The sequence below is a fragment of the Homo sapiens genome, chromosome 2 (genome assembly GCF_000001405.40).
Source record: "Homo sapiens chromosome 2, GRCh38.p14 Primary Assembly".
NCBI classification, from domain to species: Eukaryota; Metazoa; Chordata; class Mammalia; order Primates; family Hominidae; genus Homo; species Homo sapiens.
The window spans coordinates 207,714,366-207,731,025 of record NC_000002.12 but is presented as its reverse complement, the minus strand read 5'-3'; the positions used below and the strand labels follow the sequence as shown (position 1 = coordinate 207,731,025).

At 41.2% G+C, this 16,660-nt stretch overlaps 1 protein-coding gene across 3 annotated transcripts in view; it reads right to left on the bottom strand.

The window, feature by feature from the left end:
- Nucleotides 1-16,660, bottom strand: part of CCNYL1 (cyclin Y like 1) — a 44,535-nt gene that overhangs the window by 25,149 nt on the left and 2,726 nt on the right. For all 3 annotated transcript variants that reach the window (NM_001330218.2, NM_001142300.2, NM_152523.3), the window contains 2 exons: nt 6,152-6,226; nt 4,150-4,184 (listed from right to left, as the gene is read on the bottom strand). In NM_001330218.2, coding sequence (NP_001317147.1) covers nt 4,150-4,184; nt 6,152-6,226 — 110 coding nt within the window. The remainder of the gene's footprint in view (nt 1-4,149; nt 4,185-6,151; nt 6,227-16,660) is intronic.

The following is a 16,660-nucleotide window of genomic DNA, read 5'->3' as shown; positions in this document are numbered from 1 at the left end:
CTTATTATAACTAAAAAATGTCTGGATTAGTATCATTATGTTGAATTTAAACTTAGATTTACACTTTAAATAAAGGTTCTAAATTTGGGTTAAACATGGCAGATTGACCATAAATTTATTTCCTTGCCCTCCTGAAATTTCATTAGAATTAAAGACATAAAATAAAGGTTATACACAGGAGCAGGCAACAGGATTGACAGCAGATAATATTTCCATTTGTTTTATTTTATTTTTGAGACAGAGTTTATAAATTTATTTATTTATTTTTTAAACAGAGTCTTGCTCTGTTGCCCAGGCTGGAGTGCAGTGGTGCAATCTTGGCTCACTGCAGCTTCCACCTCCCAGGTTCAAGCAATTCTCCTGCCTCAGCCTCCCGAGCAGCTGGGATTACAGGTGTGCACCACCACACCCGGCTAATTTTTATATTTTTAGTAGAAACGGAGTTTCAACATGTTGGCAAGGCTGGTCTGGAACTCCTGACCTCAAGTGATCCTCCCGCCTCAGCCTCCCAAAGTGCTGAGATTACAGGCGTGAGCCACCGCACCCGGCCACAGCAGATGACTTTTAATAAATCTTGAAAGATGAAAAAGACAAAGGAGTGGTAACTGATATGGAAGCACAACTTTAGTGCCTACAGAGAGTGACTGGAACAGGATCAAGTTAGTTTGTCTTACAGAACCCAAGGCAGACTTCAAACTCAGAGGCACATGGCACCTTGGAAGGTAGAGTGAAACACAAAACAAAAGCCAGCAAGGTCGGCTGAAAATATGTAGTTGGAGTCCCAGGTCCACCTGTCCTCCCATCTTATAAGGAATATAGAAGGTTCTGGGCTCAGAAATAGTAGGACTGAAATCTGGGAAATGGGAAAAAAAACTACACACTGAGAAGTGGAACTCCACCTCCCTTTTCCAACTCTGCTTCTGGAAAATGAGCAGCCATGCTTGTACTCCCCAGGTAGAAAATTGGGAGATTCTTCTCTGAAGAAACTGAACAGTCTCAGAAAAGACGCATCCAGCAGGGCACAGTGACTCACACCTGTAATCCCAGCACTTTGGGAGGCTGAGGTGGGTGAACTTGAGGCCAGGAGCTCGAGACCAGCTTGGCTAATACGGCAAAACCCTGTCTCTACTAAAAAAAAAAAAATTAGCCAGGCGTGGTGGCACACACCTGTAATCTCAGCCACTCAAGAGACCGAGGCACAAGAATCACTTGAACTCGGGAGGAAGAGGTTGCATCTTGGCAGAGGGCGCTGAGATCACGCCACTGCACTCCAGTATGGATGACAGAATGAGACTCTCTCAGAAAGAAAAGCAAAGGAAAGGATAGGACAGGAGAAAGGAAAGGGGAAAGGAAGGAGGAAAGGAAAGGAAAGGAGATAAAAAAGAAGAGAGAAAAGACAAGACAAGACCCACCAGATAACAGACTGAGGTCTTCTAAATTAAAGGCTAGCTTGGCCTCCAATGTCCTTGCAGTAAGAATCATCAGTTAACAAAAGTCCTGCTTCCAATTAGAGAAAGCCAGAGACTATCACACGTGAGGGAAGCCTCCAACAAGAGAGAGCAAAACAATAGGAAAAAGGAATGCATGGGAGTGGTGAAAATTCAGGAGCAAATGAAAACTTAAAAAAATTCTTAAAATACCTTCAAAAAGATGAAAGATTCAATAGAATGGTTAGAGCATAAAGTAAAAGAATGCCCAAGAAGTAGAACAAAAGACTAACTAGAAAATGGGAGAGTGCGGGGGGGTGGGGGGGGTGGGGTGGGGGCGGGGGGGGGCGGAGACAAGTAAAGATCAATGCAGAAACACTGGTCTAATAAGCTCAGCATCTGAATAGTAAGAATATCAGGAAAAAGAAGGAACAAAGAAAACAAAATTCTCTAGAAGACATAGTCTACAGACTTATTGGTCCCAATAAAAAGAAAAGGTCTAGGCCGGGTGCGGTGGCTCATGCCTGTAATCCCAACACTTTGGGACGCCGAGGCGGGCAGATCACAAGGTCAGGAGATCAAGACCATCCTGGCCAACATGGTAAAATCCCTTCTTTACTAAAAATACAAAAAAATTAGTCAGGCTTGGTGGCACGCCCCTGTAGTCCCAGCTACTTGGGAGGCTAAGGCAGGAGAATTGCTTGAACTTGGGAGGTGGGGATTGCAGTGAGCTGAGATCACGCCACTGCACTCAAGCCTGGCAACAGAGCAAGACTCCGTCTCAAAAAAAAGGAAAAAAGAAAAGGTCCATAGCAAGCCATATTAAGCAATTTCAGGATCTCAGGGATACAGAAGGCACTAAAAAGCTTCCGGAGACATGTAAAAACTGGTTACATGAACTGTATCACACAATGGCAACAGATTCAAGAATACTATAATGAGAACATAATAGAGAAATGTCTTCAGAACTATGAAATTTAGAGTGAACCTAGCATTTTATACTCTTATGAAATAGGAAGCTTTGGCTAGGTGCAGTGGCTCACACCTGTAACCCCAACACTTTGAAAGGCTGATGCAGGTGGATGGCTTGAGGCCAGGAGTTTGAGACCAGCCTGAGCAACAGGGCAAAACCCCATCTCTATGAAAAATACAAAAATTAGCTGGACATAGTGGCACATGCCTGTAGTCCCAGTTACTCGGAAGGCTGAGATGGGAGGATCACTTGAGCCCAGTAGGTTAAGGATGCAGTAAGCCAAGACCACACCACTGCCCTCCAGCTTGGGCAACAGAGTGAGACCCTGTCTCAAAAAAGAGAAAAAAAGAAAAAAAAAAAAAAAGGCCAGGTGCAGTGGCTCATGCCTGTAATCCCCACTTTGGGAGGCCAAGGCGGGCAGATCACCTGAGGTCAGGAGTTCGAGACCAGCCTGGCCAACATGGTGAAACCCCGTCTCTATTAAAAATACAAAAATTAGCTGGGCGTGGTGGCAGGCGCCTGTAATACCAGCTACTTGGGAGGCTGACACAGGAGAATCGCTTGAACCCGGGAGGCAGAGGTTGCAGTGAGCTGAGATCGCACCACTGCACTCCAGCCTGGGGGACAAGAGCAAGACTTTGTCTCAAAAAAAAAAAAAAAAGAGAGAGAGAGAAAGAAATAGGGGAGGTTTTCAGACAGGCTAGATCTCTAAATATGTCTGTCTATGGGCCCTTTCCCAGGAAAATGTACTCCGGTAAAACTAGGAAGGATAACAAGATAGAGGGAAACACAGAATCTAGGATTTAGGGGACCCAACACAAAAGGACAGTTATGTGAGATCCCAGATGACTTCAGAGAGATATCCCAGGAAAACAGGCACAGAACAGTCTTAGGAAAAACCCGTCTATATTTGAAGAGGATGACAAAAGGCTGAGGAAAGCTGTCTCCAAGAGAAAAATGGAACAGATGTGTTTTAGTAGATGGAAAACATTTTTGATAGGCATGTGGCAAATGCTACAACATTTGGGGGGAAAAATAGCTGTTAGAAAACAGCCAAATGAATATAGTCAGGAAATTAATTCCACACACACAAAAAAAAAGACATGAAAGCAAGGAGACCAGCCAAGGGTTACTACTGCATTTGGCTGTGTGAGCTAGTGGAGGCTAGGAAGAGACGTGCAGACACGCCCAGATTTCAGAAATATTTAAGAGAAACAAAGGATGTACAAGGAGAAGACAGTGAGAATAATATATGACTCAGCAGTGAATAATATCTGTATAATCATAACAATGTAAACATCAATTACTGATTTAATTAAAAATGTGATATATATGGGAGAAATAGAGGGAAGAAAATAAGGTCACGGTGGAGTGAGGAAGCTAAGTTTTCACTTGTTATGACAGGAAGTCAACATATAGTGCTAAAAATGAACTTAGCTATTATAATTTTGTTACTTGATTTTTAAAAAGATTAAAAACTTTAGGCAAAAATATTTAAGGCAGATATTTATACCACAACCAAACTATTGAAATTTAACTTAAATGTCAGAAACCCTTAACAATTGGGTACACTAAGTCAAAGACTTTCCTGCATAAATCTGATTCTCAGCAAAATAGAAATGATTTAGAAAATCCACAAAAAGAGGCTCATACTAACAGTATTGGGTCCCCATTATATTTTTATGGAATCATGACAGACATACTTTTAATTCAACTGTTAATTTCTTAGCTTTCCAACTGTTTACTTACATGGTTCAAATGGTTGCTCTTCCTCTTTTCTCGCACTAAGAATAAAAAAAATTAGCTGATCAATTCTGATACAAATGCCACAGTATAAAAGTAGTTGCTAATCATCTGATTAACAATATACAAAATGAGATAAAATTCCATTTAAAAAATAATTTCCAACAAAATTCATCATTTAAATCATCTGGCAAGATGAATCCCATAAAATAAAATCTAAAAACTTAGTTTTACTTTTTGAACTGACAGATATTCTATTACATGGAAATGAAAGAATCCCTACATAAAAAAGAAAGGGGCAAAACAAATTATGCTAAATGAGAAATTTAGCTAATAGGTTTCCCTGTTGCATATCTGAACCATCATCCAGCAGTATTTTTTAATTCTACATTTACAGGTAGCTTACTTTAATTACCAAGATCTAACACCTGACAGCTCTAAGAACCAGTTTCTGGCTAGGTGCCAATCTCTAGCTGCACCACAATCACTGCAAACATCCTGAACCACTTACTGGTCATCTACTAGTATGTTACTGAAAAAATAAACGGGTCTTTACACAAGTGGAAAGTAAACTTCCTTAAATTTAAATGTTAAAATGAATGTTAACCTAATTGAACATGGTATATTCAGCACATAAAATCATTTTAACAAAGGCCAGAAGAATAAAAGCTCCAAGAGGGACTTGGACCACGCTTTGTTTCCTATACTGCCTCTTCCTTTGATGCTAGACAAGTATCACAAGCACACACTCCTTACCACTGAAGAAAGAGGAGCATGGGATAGCTCTTCTTTTACTGCTTCCACACTCTGTCTGTGTGAGAAGCCTATGGCTCTGAAAGAAACTGAGAAATACAACTATCCTAACCAGAAATGACCAGCTCAAGACAAAGTCCACACGAGCTTCGAAAATGCTGCTTACAACTCCCCTGCTTTGTGTTGTGCTCCATTACTTCAAGTATTATAGAACCCCCACTTCTTGTATTCTTGCTGTTGAAATCAAATGAAAAACCTGGTTGTATATAGCTTTTTAGCAAATAAATTAGGATTTAACATAATTATAAGGAAGATAAACAGGAGTACAGAAAAATACAACAGTTCTGATTCTCATCCTAAAACAAGCAGGACAAGGAAAATGTACGTAAGTTTCACTTGCTGAGGCTAACCTTCTGGGAAACACCATGGGGCATGTTTATATTTACACTACATTAGGATGGAAAAGTTAATAGCTTAAAAGTTCTGAGTAGCATAAATTTGAATGTGATAGGCTCATGTGGTTAGAGCATTGTATAAAAGGAAGCCAAAATCACAGATTCAATCCCTGTATACGAACTGATTTTTTGTTGTTGTTCAAATGAAACCAAGCTGCAGCTTAAATCCTATCATTCATCTTTAAAATGTACTCTTTTGGAGCAAGGGAAAGAGGTCAAAGAAGTATGGAGAAATATGCATAAATCCATGATACTGGCCAGATGGCTCACGCCTGTAATCCCAGCACTTTGGGAGGCTGAGGAGGGCAGATCACGAGGTCAGGAGTTTGAGACCAGCCTGGCCAACATGGTGAAACCCCATCTCTACTAAAAATACAAAAATTAGCCGGACATGGTGGCTCATGCCTGTAGTCCTAGCTACTTGGGAGGCTGAGGCAGGAGAATTGCTTGAACGTGGGAGATGGAGGCTGCAGTGAGCTGAGGCCACATCATTGCACTCCAGCATGGGCAATAAAGGCACTCCAGCCTCTCAAAAAAAAAAAAAAAAATCCATGTTACTAAATCATGTGGCCAATTAATTGTGTTATAAAAAGGTGGCAAAACCTGTAAATAGGTCTACATGTTATTACTAAACAATCACAACTAAAGGAAAGTATATCACATATTAAAATCAGTGAACATATGAAAAGAAAATTTTAAACTAATACATCAGTTCTTCTAAATACCTTCTATAATACATCCAATAAAATAGAAACAGTTTTCAGTCTTTTCCTTGGAAGGAAAAAACAGTATTGTCTTACCATCCGTTTGAGATTTGCTCAGGAAAATTGTGCTTGCCCTTGGATGGTCAGAAGGGTTTGACTCCAAAGCTAAATCTATAGAAGAGGAGGAAAAAGACGTGACACTTTAGGTGAGTAGAAAAGATGATTTCTGAAATAGATACACATCCATTTTAATCACTTTTAACAGTCTTCAGAGAAGTTTTTAGTAATAAATATAAAGGAAATAAAGACAATACAAAAATACTCCTGGGGAATGCAAAATTGTAGAATCTCTCCACACACGTGGAACAAAAACCAGGCTGTGTCAGAGACTTTTAATAAAAAATCTGTGCCTAAATAATCTGGTACAAATGTTAGATGAATCATACGCATGTCCTCCTCCTTCAACTTATCAAATAGAAATATAACCACACTCTCCTCTCTACTGCTATTACTAGCACATTTCAAGAACAATCTCAAGTAGCAAGTGATGCTGTGGCCAGTTACTGTCAGGCACCAGCTCAATACATCAAATATGGTAAAACAAAGAGTTGTTTTTGGCAAATGTTCTTTAGACAATTAAACGGCTAATTCTAACTCCATTCAACAAGTAAACTAATTTAGTTAGCTGTGGTTTTTTGGGGGGCCATTCATCATGGCAGATTTAAGAGGACTGAATGGAAGTTCTGTGTTCTAACATACAGAAACATGTTAGAAAATGATTAACGTTTGCCCTCAATTTCTCACTTCTTCCTTCTAACAGCATGGTTAATTTGGTGTTTCATCAAGAGTACGTTTTAAAGCAGATCTTAGGGCTGTTTCTAAAAAATTTTGCCCCTATCTATGTCAAGATAAACCTGCCTGTAGTCCACCTTGCACCAAAGTTGGATAATATATTTAGGCAAGACTACAAAACAGACTCTTGAATTTTCATGAAACAAACTTTGCCATAATATGGGATAATAAAAATTGTCACGAGGGGAAAAAATAAAAATCTATGATATTCTTCAGCAAGGTCTTTTTTTTTTTTTTTTTTTTTGAGATGGAGTCTCACTCTATTGCCCAGGCTGGAGTGCAGTGGCACGGTCTCAGCTCACTGCAACCTCTGCCTCCAGGATTCAAGCAATTCTCCTGCCTCAGTATCCCAAATAGCTGGGATTACAGGTGCCTGCCACCACGCCGGCTAATTTTTGTATTTTTAGTAGAGACGGGGTTTTACCATGTTGGCCAGGCTCGTCTCAAACTCCTGACCCCAGGTGATCCACCCACCTCAGCCTCCCAAGGTGCTGGGATTATAGAGGTGAGTCACCGCGCCCAGCCCAGCAAGGTCCATTTCAAGCCACTTATCTTAACCAATCTTGTAAGAAACTGGGCCAAGATCCAGAGTAACAGTTAAGGCGATATTTCCCAAAACTACATATTAATATAATTGCTCTACTTTTAAAAAAGCGATTTAGTGGTCAAATGACAATATACTCTATCCCTGGCTCTTACAAAATCAAAACGCACATTGATATACTAAAAACTAATCAGTCTAGTAGTGATTACTGTCTAACTCAGCATTTCACAAATTTATCTACCTAGAATCCTTTTCTCTCTTCCAAGTAATTTGGTTAGAATCTTATATGAACATAATTTTGGGACTTCCTGGTTAAAATGAATTATGAATCATCCATTTTAATAGTACTGCCAGATCACTAAAAACTTACATACCTAAACCAACTGCTTTGTTCTCCATGGAAAGTCCTTCACTCAACTTTTTTAAACTGCTTTTAGAGGAAACTATTCTTATGTAAAAGACCCACACAAAAATTATGTTTGAAGTTTTTCCACATCTTGAAAAGATGACGTGACAATTTTAAGCTATTTGGAAAAATAAAATCATTTGTGCACAAAATGACAGGCAGAGACTTTCACAGCTGCCTCTACCTAAAGCTCCTTTTTTTTTTTTTCCGAGAGAAGAGTCTCACTCTTTCGCCCAGGCTGGAGTGCTGTGGTGCAATCTTGGCTCACTGCAACCTCCACCTCCCGGGTTCAAGTGATTCTCCTGCCTCAGCCTCCCAACTAGCTGGGACTACAGGCACGCATCACCATGCCCGGCTAATTTTTGTATTTTTAGTAGGGACTGGGTTTCACCATGCTGGCCAGGCTGGTCTCAAACTCCTGACCTTGTGATCTGCCCCCCTCGGCCTCCCAAAGTTCTGGGATTACAGGCGTGAGCCACCACACCCAGCCTCTACCTAAAGCTTCTAAAAGGATTCATGACTACTTCCTTTCAAAAAGAAAGCAAATATACTACCATTTGAATCTAAAAAATAACTAATGTTTACAGAAGAAGCCATATTATGAATCAGTACCTATGTCATGATAAAGTTTAATTAGGAATTTTCAATGAAGTCCAGGAAAATTAAGTACCAAAATCAAAGAGGAGCAGGCTTCACACACACACCTCCCCCGCCCCAAATCAAGATGTGCTACTATGTATTTAAATATAAGAAAACCAAGATGTGCTACTGTGTAAATATAAGAAATATCCAAGGCGGCTGGGCATGGTGGCTCATGCCTGTAATCCCAATACTTTGGGAGGCTGAGGCTGGCAGATCATGAGGTCAGGAGTTCGAGACCAGCCTGACCAACCCAGTGAAACCCCATCTCTACTAAAAATACAAAAAAATCAGCCAGGCGTGATGGCGTGCACCTCTAGTCCCAGCTACTCGGGAGGCTGAAGCAGAAGAATCGCTTGAACCCAGGAGGCAGAGGTTGCAGTGAACCAAGATCACACCACTGCCCCCCAGCCTGGTCAACAGAGCAAGACTACATCTCAAAAAAAAAAAAAAAAATCCAAGGCAACTAGGATAACAGAAATGATAAGATATAGAGAAAAAAGCCAAATAAGCCCAAGTAACAAGCTGGCACTCCCTCAACTCAGGGGTTTTAGGGTGGGCATGTGACTTACAGCTGGCCAATCAATTACATTTCTCTTGGGACTTCCCAAGAACCAAAGGAGAAAGGCAGGGCTGTACTCTAGCACTGCTAGCCAGCCAGGAGCTGCCACCGAGGCTGAGGCAGGAGAATTGCTTGAGCTCAGGAGGCAGAGGTTGCAGTGAGCCGAGATGGCGCCACTGCACTCCAGCCTGGCAACAGAGCAAGACTCTGTCTCAAAACAAAAAAAAAAAAAACAAAAAACTCCTAAGAATGTTTGAAACTAGAAGAAATAGTTTTTGATATCATGGTTAGGGGTTATGTATAAAATTGTATTTTAAGACCCACCAGTTTTGTATTATCAATTTAAATTGCAACTTAATTCGAAAGCATGATAGTATGATGGGGGGCAAGTAAGACAAAAAAAAATTAAACTCAGGTCTTAATATAAACACCCCCCTCAGGGGAAGAAATCTGTAAGATCCACTGACATTGAACACTGCTTCTCCTTGAATCTATCAGCCATCTCAATTTCACAGATGTTAATTAAAAATGTAAAAATATGGAACTTAGAATAAATGAAATGCATTATTACTAAAGGCTAAAAGTGTTAAAATTATGCAATTGTAAACTGTAAAGAAATTATTTTTCTTGTCAAAATATTAAAGGGAGAGGGCAGCAACCAAGAAAGTAACTGACAGAAGCAGCATATTTCAGAGAAAGAGATTGAGTTCAACATATTGATTTCAATATATCCCAATTAAACAGGAGACATTGGCAGTTTCTGGGCCAACTGCTGGGCATCTGTTTATTTAAAGGCTTACTGCATTTACTGACCTGCTCTACCATACTGCACACTGTATTAGTCTTACGGTCCATAACACAAACATTTCAAACCTCTCAACTATGATGTAAACGCTGAGATTTTATCTAAGTTCACACGTTCCACCCATCAGGTAAGTCTTACCTGATGGGTCTTGAGCTGCCCTGCCTCATCTGAGGTCACACAGTACCAGCCAAGCTCCAGTCTCATGCTCACTCATGCCTTGCTTTTGCTTTCCTAGCTTCTGACAATCCTAAATCTGGTTTCCGAAACACTGCTCTACCTCCTTCTATGTCAGTGTTCAGTCTTGCTTTAACTTACCTTCACGCCTCAATCTATGTTTTAGTGATCGTGACTGAGCTGTGACATTTCATATGCTATAGTATACCTTTCTCCCTTTGTGTATTTCTTAATAGCACTTAACTCCTTTTTTAGACTTTTAAGAGTATTTCTGGGTGGAGTGCAGTGACTCACACCTGTAATCCCAGCACTCTGGGAGGCTGAGGCAGAAGGATCACTTGAGAACAGTTCAAGACCAGCCTGGGCAACATAACATAGTGAGACCCCCATCTCTACAAAAATTTTTTAAAAGATTAGTTGGGTGTGGAGGCACATGCCTGTAGTTCCAGCTATTTGGGAGGCTGAAGTGGCAGGATAACTTGAGCCCAGGGATTTGAGGTTACAGTGAGCTCTAATGGCACTACTGTGCTCCAGCCTGGGCGACAGGCAGAGTTGTGACCCTGTCTCATACAGAGAAAAGAAAAAAAAAAAAAAAGTCTGGGTTACAAGTACCTCCATTTCATTTTTCATTATCCAATGTTATTATTTTAACTCTAAAGCTTAATTAACTGAAAAAAAGGTGGAAAAAAGGCAGTATCCAAAGAAGCCCATGAGTCATTCTATAAATTCTAATCCTATATGCCATATATCTGAAATTTACATTCTTGATCTACCAAGCCTTTTTTTTTTTTTTTTTTTTTTGAGACGGAGTCTCACTCTACCACCCAGGCTGGAGTGCAGTGGCATGATCTCGGCTCACTGCAACCTCTGCCTCCTGAGTTGAAGCGATTTTTCTGCTTCAGCCTCCCAGGCAGCTGGGACTACAGGCATGTGCCACCACACCCAACTAATTTTTGTATTTTTATTAGAGATGGGGTTTCACCATGTTGGCCAGGATGGTCTCCATCTCCTGACCTCGTGATCCACCCACCTCAGCCTCCCAAAGTGCTGTAGTACAGGCATGAGCCACCACCACACCTGACCATACCAAGTCTTATCTTTTTAAACCTTGGAAAACTCTTAGTCCCAGCTACTTGGGAGGCTGAGGCAAGAGGATCACTTGAGCCCAGGAAGTGGAGGCTGCAGTGAGCTATGATCACACCACTGCACTCCAGCCTCGGCAACAGAGAAAGACCATCTCAAAAACAAAAAACAAATTAAAAAACCTTGGCAAACTCAATTTACACCTCTCAAAGCCTGTCTTCTCATATGTAAAACAAGTATAATTCTTATACTACCTAACTCAAAATATAGTGAGAATAAAATGAAATGCAAGAGCAATTGCTATAAGCCGGGCGCAGTAGCTCACACCTGTAATCCCAGCATTTTGGGAGGCTGAGGTGGGCAGATCACCTGAGGTCAGGAATTCAAGACCAGCCTGGCCAAGATGGCGAAACCCCTTCTCTACTAAAAATATAAAAATTAGCTGGGCGTGGTGGCACATGCCTGTAGTCCCAGCTACTCAGGAGGCTGAGGCATTAGAACTGCTGGAACCCAGGAGGTGGAGGTTGCAGTGAGCTGAGCTCGTGCCACTGTACTCCAGCCTGGGCAACAGAACTAGACTCCATCTCAAAAAAAAAAAAAAAAGCAATTGCTATATACCACATAATGCACAATAAATTATAAAACAAAGTTTTCACAAATTAAAAGCAAAAGTGAACAGTTAGCATTTATTGGAAAGCCCATACCAAAATAACATCTTCAGCAAATATGCACTTTGGCTACCTCTGAAATTAAGGGAAAAACAGTCACACACCACCACCAAGAATTCCTTTCAGTGTTGTTGTTTTAAATAAGCAAATACATATTATTTCATACATTACTGTACATTCTCCTCCTTGTTTTTTTTCATGTAACATATCCTGGATATCTGGGTATCACTCCATAGCAGTAAAGAGAGTTTTTTTTTTTTTTAACAGCTCCATAATTCTCCTCTGTGTGGATATAACAGTTTATTTTACCAATTTCTTACTAGACATATTATTTCCAATATTTAGCTATTGAAAATAATGCAACAAAACCTTATGCACATGTTATTTCATATTTATGGGGTATGCCTTCAGGATAAATTCCTTGAAGTAGGATTTCTGGATTAAATGCATTTGCAATGTTTGAGATTATGCCAAATTCCTCTTCAGGGAGTCAAACCACCTTACATTTTAACCAGCAATACACGAATGCAACTCTTCGCAGCCACACCAAAGAATGTATTGTCAAGTTTTTGGATCTTCTCCCAACAGAAGAGAAATCACAGCACAGTTTTCGTTTGTATTTCTCTTAAGTGTGAAGCTGTGTTTAAGGATCATCTGCATTTATTTTTCTGTGACTTGTCTATTCATCACTTTGCTACCTACTTTTACAGCTAGTCTGATCTTTTTTTTTTTTTGAGACAGTCTCACTGTCACCCAGGCTGGAGGGCAGTGGAGCAATCACAGCTCAATGCAGCCTTGACTTCCTGGGCTCAGGAGATTCTCCTGCCTCAGCTTCTTGAGTAGCTGGGACTATGGGTGTGTGCCACCACACCTGGCTAATTTACTTTTTGTAGAGGCAGGGTCTCAGCACGTTGTCCAGGCTAGTCCCAGCCCACTCCTGGGCTCAAGCAATCCTCCTGCCTCTGCTTCCCAAACTGCTGGGATTATAGGCATGAGCCACCGTCTGATCTTTTTCTTAAACAATTAAAAATATTGGCCGGGCATGGTGGCTCACACCTGTAATCCCAGCACCTTGGGAGGCCAGGGTGGGTGGATCACGAGGTTGGGAGATCGAGACCATCCTGGCTAACACGGAGAAACCCCATCTCTATTAAAAATACAAAAAATGAGCCGGGTGTGGTGGCACGTGCTTGTAGCCCCAGCTACTCGGGAGGCTGAGGCAGGAGAATCGCTTGAACCCAGGAGGCGGAGGTTGCAGTGAGCCAAGATTGAGCCACTGTACTTCAACCTGGGCGACACAGTGAAGATTCCATCTCAAAAAAAAAAAAAAAGAATTAAAAATATTTCCCAGGCTATAATCCTCCAATGGTTTCCTATCACAACTAAAGTCTATATTCTTTGCCAAGGCCCACTATACACACATGGCCTTAACCCACCATAGTCCTGGCATCCTTTTCACTCTTCCGCAGCCACCCTGTGTCTTTCTGTCCTTGGCCAAAAACAAGTTTGCTCCCATTCAAGGAACTCCAAAGTAACTGTCTGTGTGGACCCCTGGCTCTCACCAACCATCCTCACAAGGCTCCCTTCTCACTTTAGGACTGCTCACAGGTCACGTAAGGAGAGCAGCCATCTTTCATCCCCACAACCCCCATGTAACTGTCCTCCTCCCCAATCCATGACCCTATTTTACTTTTCTCCCTAGCACCTCACCACCTAACATTCTTGATTATTCATGTATTATCTATCCCTAGCTCCCTCCAGAATGTAAGGATCAGAGTTAGGATGAGGTTCTGTCTTGTATACCACTGTCTGCCCTAAATCTGGAACACAGCCTGGCCACCTAAAGGTACTCAATAAACATCTGTTTCAGCACACCCAAAACTAGTCAAGTTTCTCCCAGTTTTCCCACATCTTTTAATATTTCTTCTAACATTCTCTCTTGATTTGTCATCTAATCAAATCTTTTAAAGTGGTAAGCATCAAATCTTTTAAAGTGGTAGCTATTCAGAATTAAAGATGCAAGATAGGCTACCAAGAAACAAAAAATATTAAATGATGAATTCTAAAGTCCAGGGAAAAGTCAATGCTAACTCCAATTTGACATAAGAACTTTTTTTTTTTTTTTTTTTGAGATGGAGTCTCGCTCCGTCACCCAGGCTGGAGTGCAGTGGCGTGATCTCGGCTCACTGCAATCTCTGCCTCCTGGGTTCACACCATTCTCCTGCCTCAGCCTCCCGAGTAGCTGGGACTACAGGCGCCCGCCACCACGCCCGGCTAATTTTTTGTATTTTTCGTAGAGACGGGGTTTCACCGTGTTAGCCAGGATGGTCTCGATCTCCTGACCTCGTGATCCACCCGCCTCGGCCTCCCAAAGTGCTGGGATTACAGGCGTGAGCCACCACACCTGGCCCATAAGAACATTTAATACTAAAATATCTTAACTACAAAATGACTCAACCCATAGATTTAACTGAATTCTACAGGGAGGTACAAGGCATCAGTCATCAAAATATGTTTTTATCGGTACCCTTGAAATCAAATGTAATGAGACTGTGTATGATGTTACTAGAAAAGATGCCCAATCATAAAGGATAGGTAAATAAATGATACTCCAACCATCTGATGGTACATTAAGCAGTTACTAGAAGGCATGCGATAGAGCAGGGTGTCCTGGCATGGAAAGATATCTTGGAGCACTCTCTGGATGTCAAGCAGTGATTCAGGAATTTATGACATTATTTCACTGCTGTAAGTTATGAAGCAGCTCATATAGAATGATCTCATTTTTCTAAAATAAAATGTTATATTCATATGCATACCATAATCAATGACTTTTCTGTATTCTCTATGTCTTTTACATCAAACATATTATTCAAAAAAGCAAAAAAAAAAAAAAAAGAGAGGGCTTAAAATAGCTACTGGAAAGAGGAAAGATCTGTTGCTCAGAGGTTTTTCCACATTACATTGCCAATTCTTTCCCTACCTTCACCCATCAGTGGAAAAGAATAGAAAGAGTCACTTCAGAGAGCGCCTTTAGCCAGCAAATTAGCAAAGCTCCTAACGTCAGAACATAAAATGCTCCATGAAAAGTCAAGAGTACTAATAAAATCGGACAATAAGATCTTAGTATCTTATTTTGTGTTACTGATACTACCGTCAGTTATGTTAGACATACCGTTAAATAAAGGCAAGGTAGTAGAAAATACTTTGAGTCTATCTGAAATGTTTACTAGGTTCTTAGGAGCATCTCTTAGCTTGACGAGACCAGGCGTGGTGGCTCACACCTGTAATCCCAGCACTTTGGGAGGTTGAGACAGGTGGATCACCTGAGGTCAGGAGTTCCAGACCAGCCTGGCCAACATGGTGAAACCATCTCTACTAAAAACACAAAAAATTAGCTGGGCGTGGTGGCACACACCTGTAATCCCAGCTACTCAGGAGGCTGAAGCAGGAGAACTGCTTGAACTCTGGGCGCAGAGGTTACAGTGAGCCGAGATCGCGCCATTCCACTCCAGCCTGAGCAACAAGAGCGAAACTCCATCTCAAAAAAAAAAAAAAGGCCAGGCGCGGTGGCTCACACCTATGATCCCAGCACTTTGGGAGGCCAAGGCAGCTGGATCGCTTGAGGTCAGGAGTTCGAGACCAGCCTGGCCAACATACTGAAACCCTGTCTCTACTAAAAATACAAAAATTAGCTGGGCATGGTGGCATATGCCTGTAATCCCAACTACTTGGGAGGCTGAGGCAGGAGAATCACTTGAACACGGGAGGAAGAGGTTGCACTGAACCAAGTTTGTGCCATTGCACTCCAGCCTAGGCAAGAGTGAAGCTCTGTCAAAAAAAAAAAAAAAAAAAAAAGAAATAGCTTGAAGAACAAAGCCGAGCGTCATTTATGTATGATTTTTGTCTAAGTAACAAAAATAATTCTTCATTGTAGAAAAGCTAAATTTTTTGTTTGTTTGTTTGTTTTGAGACAGAGTCTTGCTCCACTGTCCAGGCTAGAGTGCAGTGGCACGATCTCAGCTCACTGCAACCTCTGCCTCCTGGGTTCAAGTGATTCTCCTGCCTTAGCCTCCTGAGTAGCTGGGATTACAGATGCCCGCCACCACACCCAGCTAATTTTTGTATTTTTAGTAGAGACGGGGTTTCACCATGTTGGCCAGGCTGCTCTCGAACTCCTGACCTCGTGATCCGCCCACCTCAGCCTCCCGAAGTGCTGGGATTACAGGCGTGAGCCACCATGCCCAGCCAAATGTTTTACATCTCAGTAAGAATTTCTGTTTCCAGGGAGACTGATATAAAATTGTCTGAAATAAAGATATTAAAAGCAAACTTTCAATGTGTCTATACTTTATATTTGGTGTTCTGGCCATGTTTCTATGGAAACTTATGAATAATAGGCAAATGCCGAAATGGAGATTTCTATTATCACTTTATTGAATGCCACAAAAATAAATTTTGAGACAAATTGAAATAAAAATGTAACTGTCATACTAACATACAATGGTAAATTCTGTGCTTACAAATTCTCTTTTTCCAACTTTTCTGATTTAGCACTCTTTATCATCATCCCATGCTTAATGCCTGGTACCTTACCTTCCCTCTTGCCAGCTTCTAATATTCCTCTGTCCAGTGCATTCTCAGCTTCAATTCACAGTTACCAGAACAAACTCTTTAAAATTTATCAACCTGTTTATTTGATGGGTATATTTAGGCCATTTTGTTACCTCTACTTTTATTCTTATCCACTGAAATGAATGTATAGACATAAGATGGAGCCAGGCAAGATGGCACACGCCCGTGGTCCCAGCTATTCAGGAGGCTGAGGTGGGAGGACTGCTTGAGCCCAGGCCAGGAGTTCGAGGCCAGCCT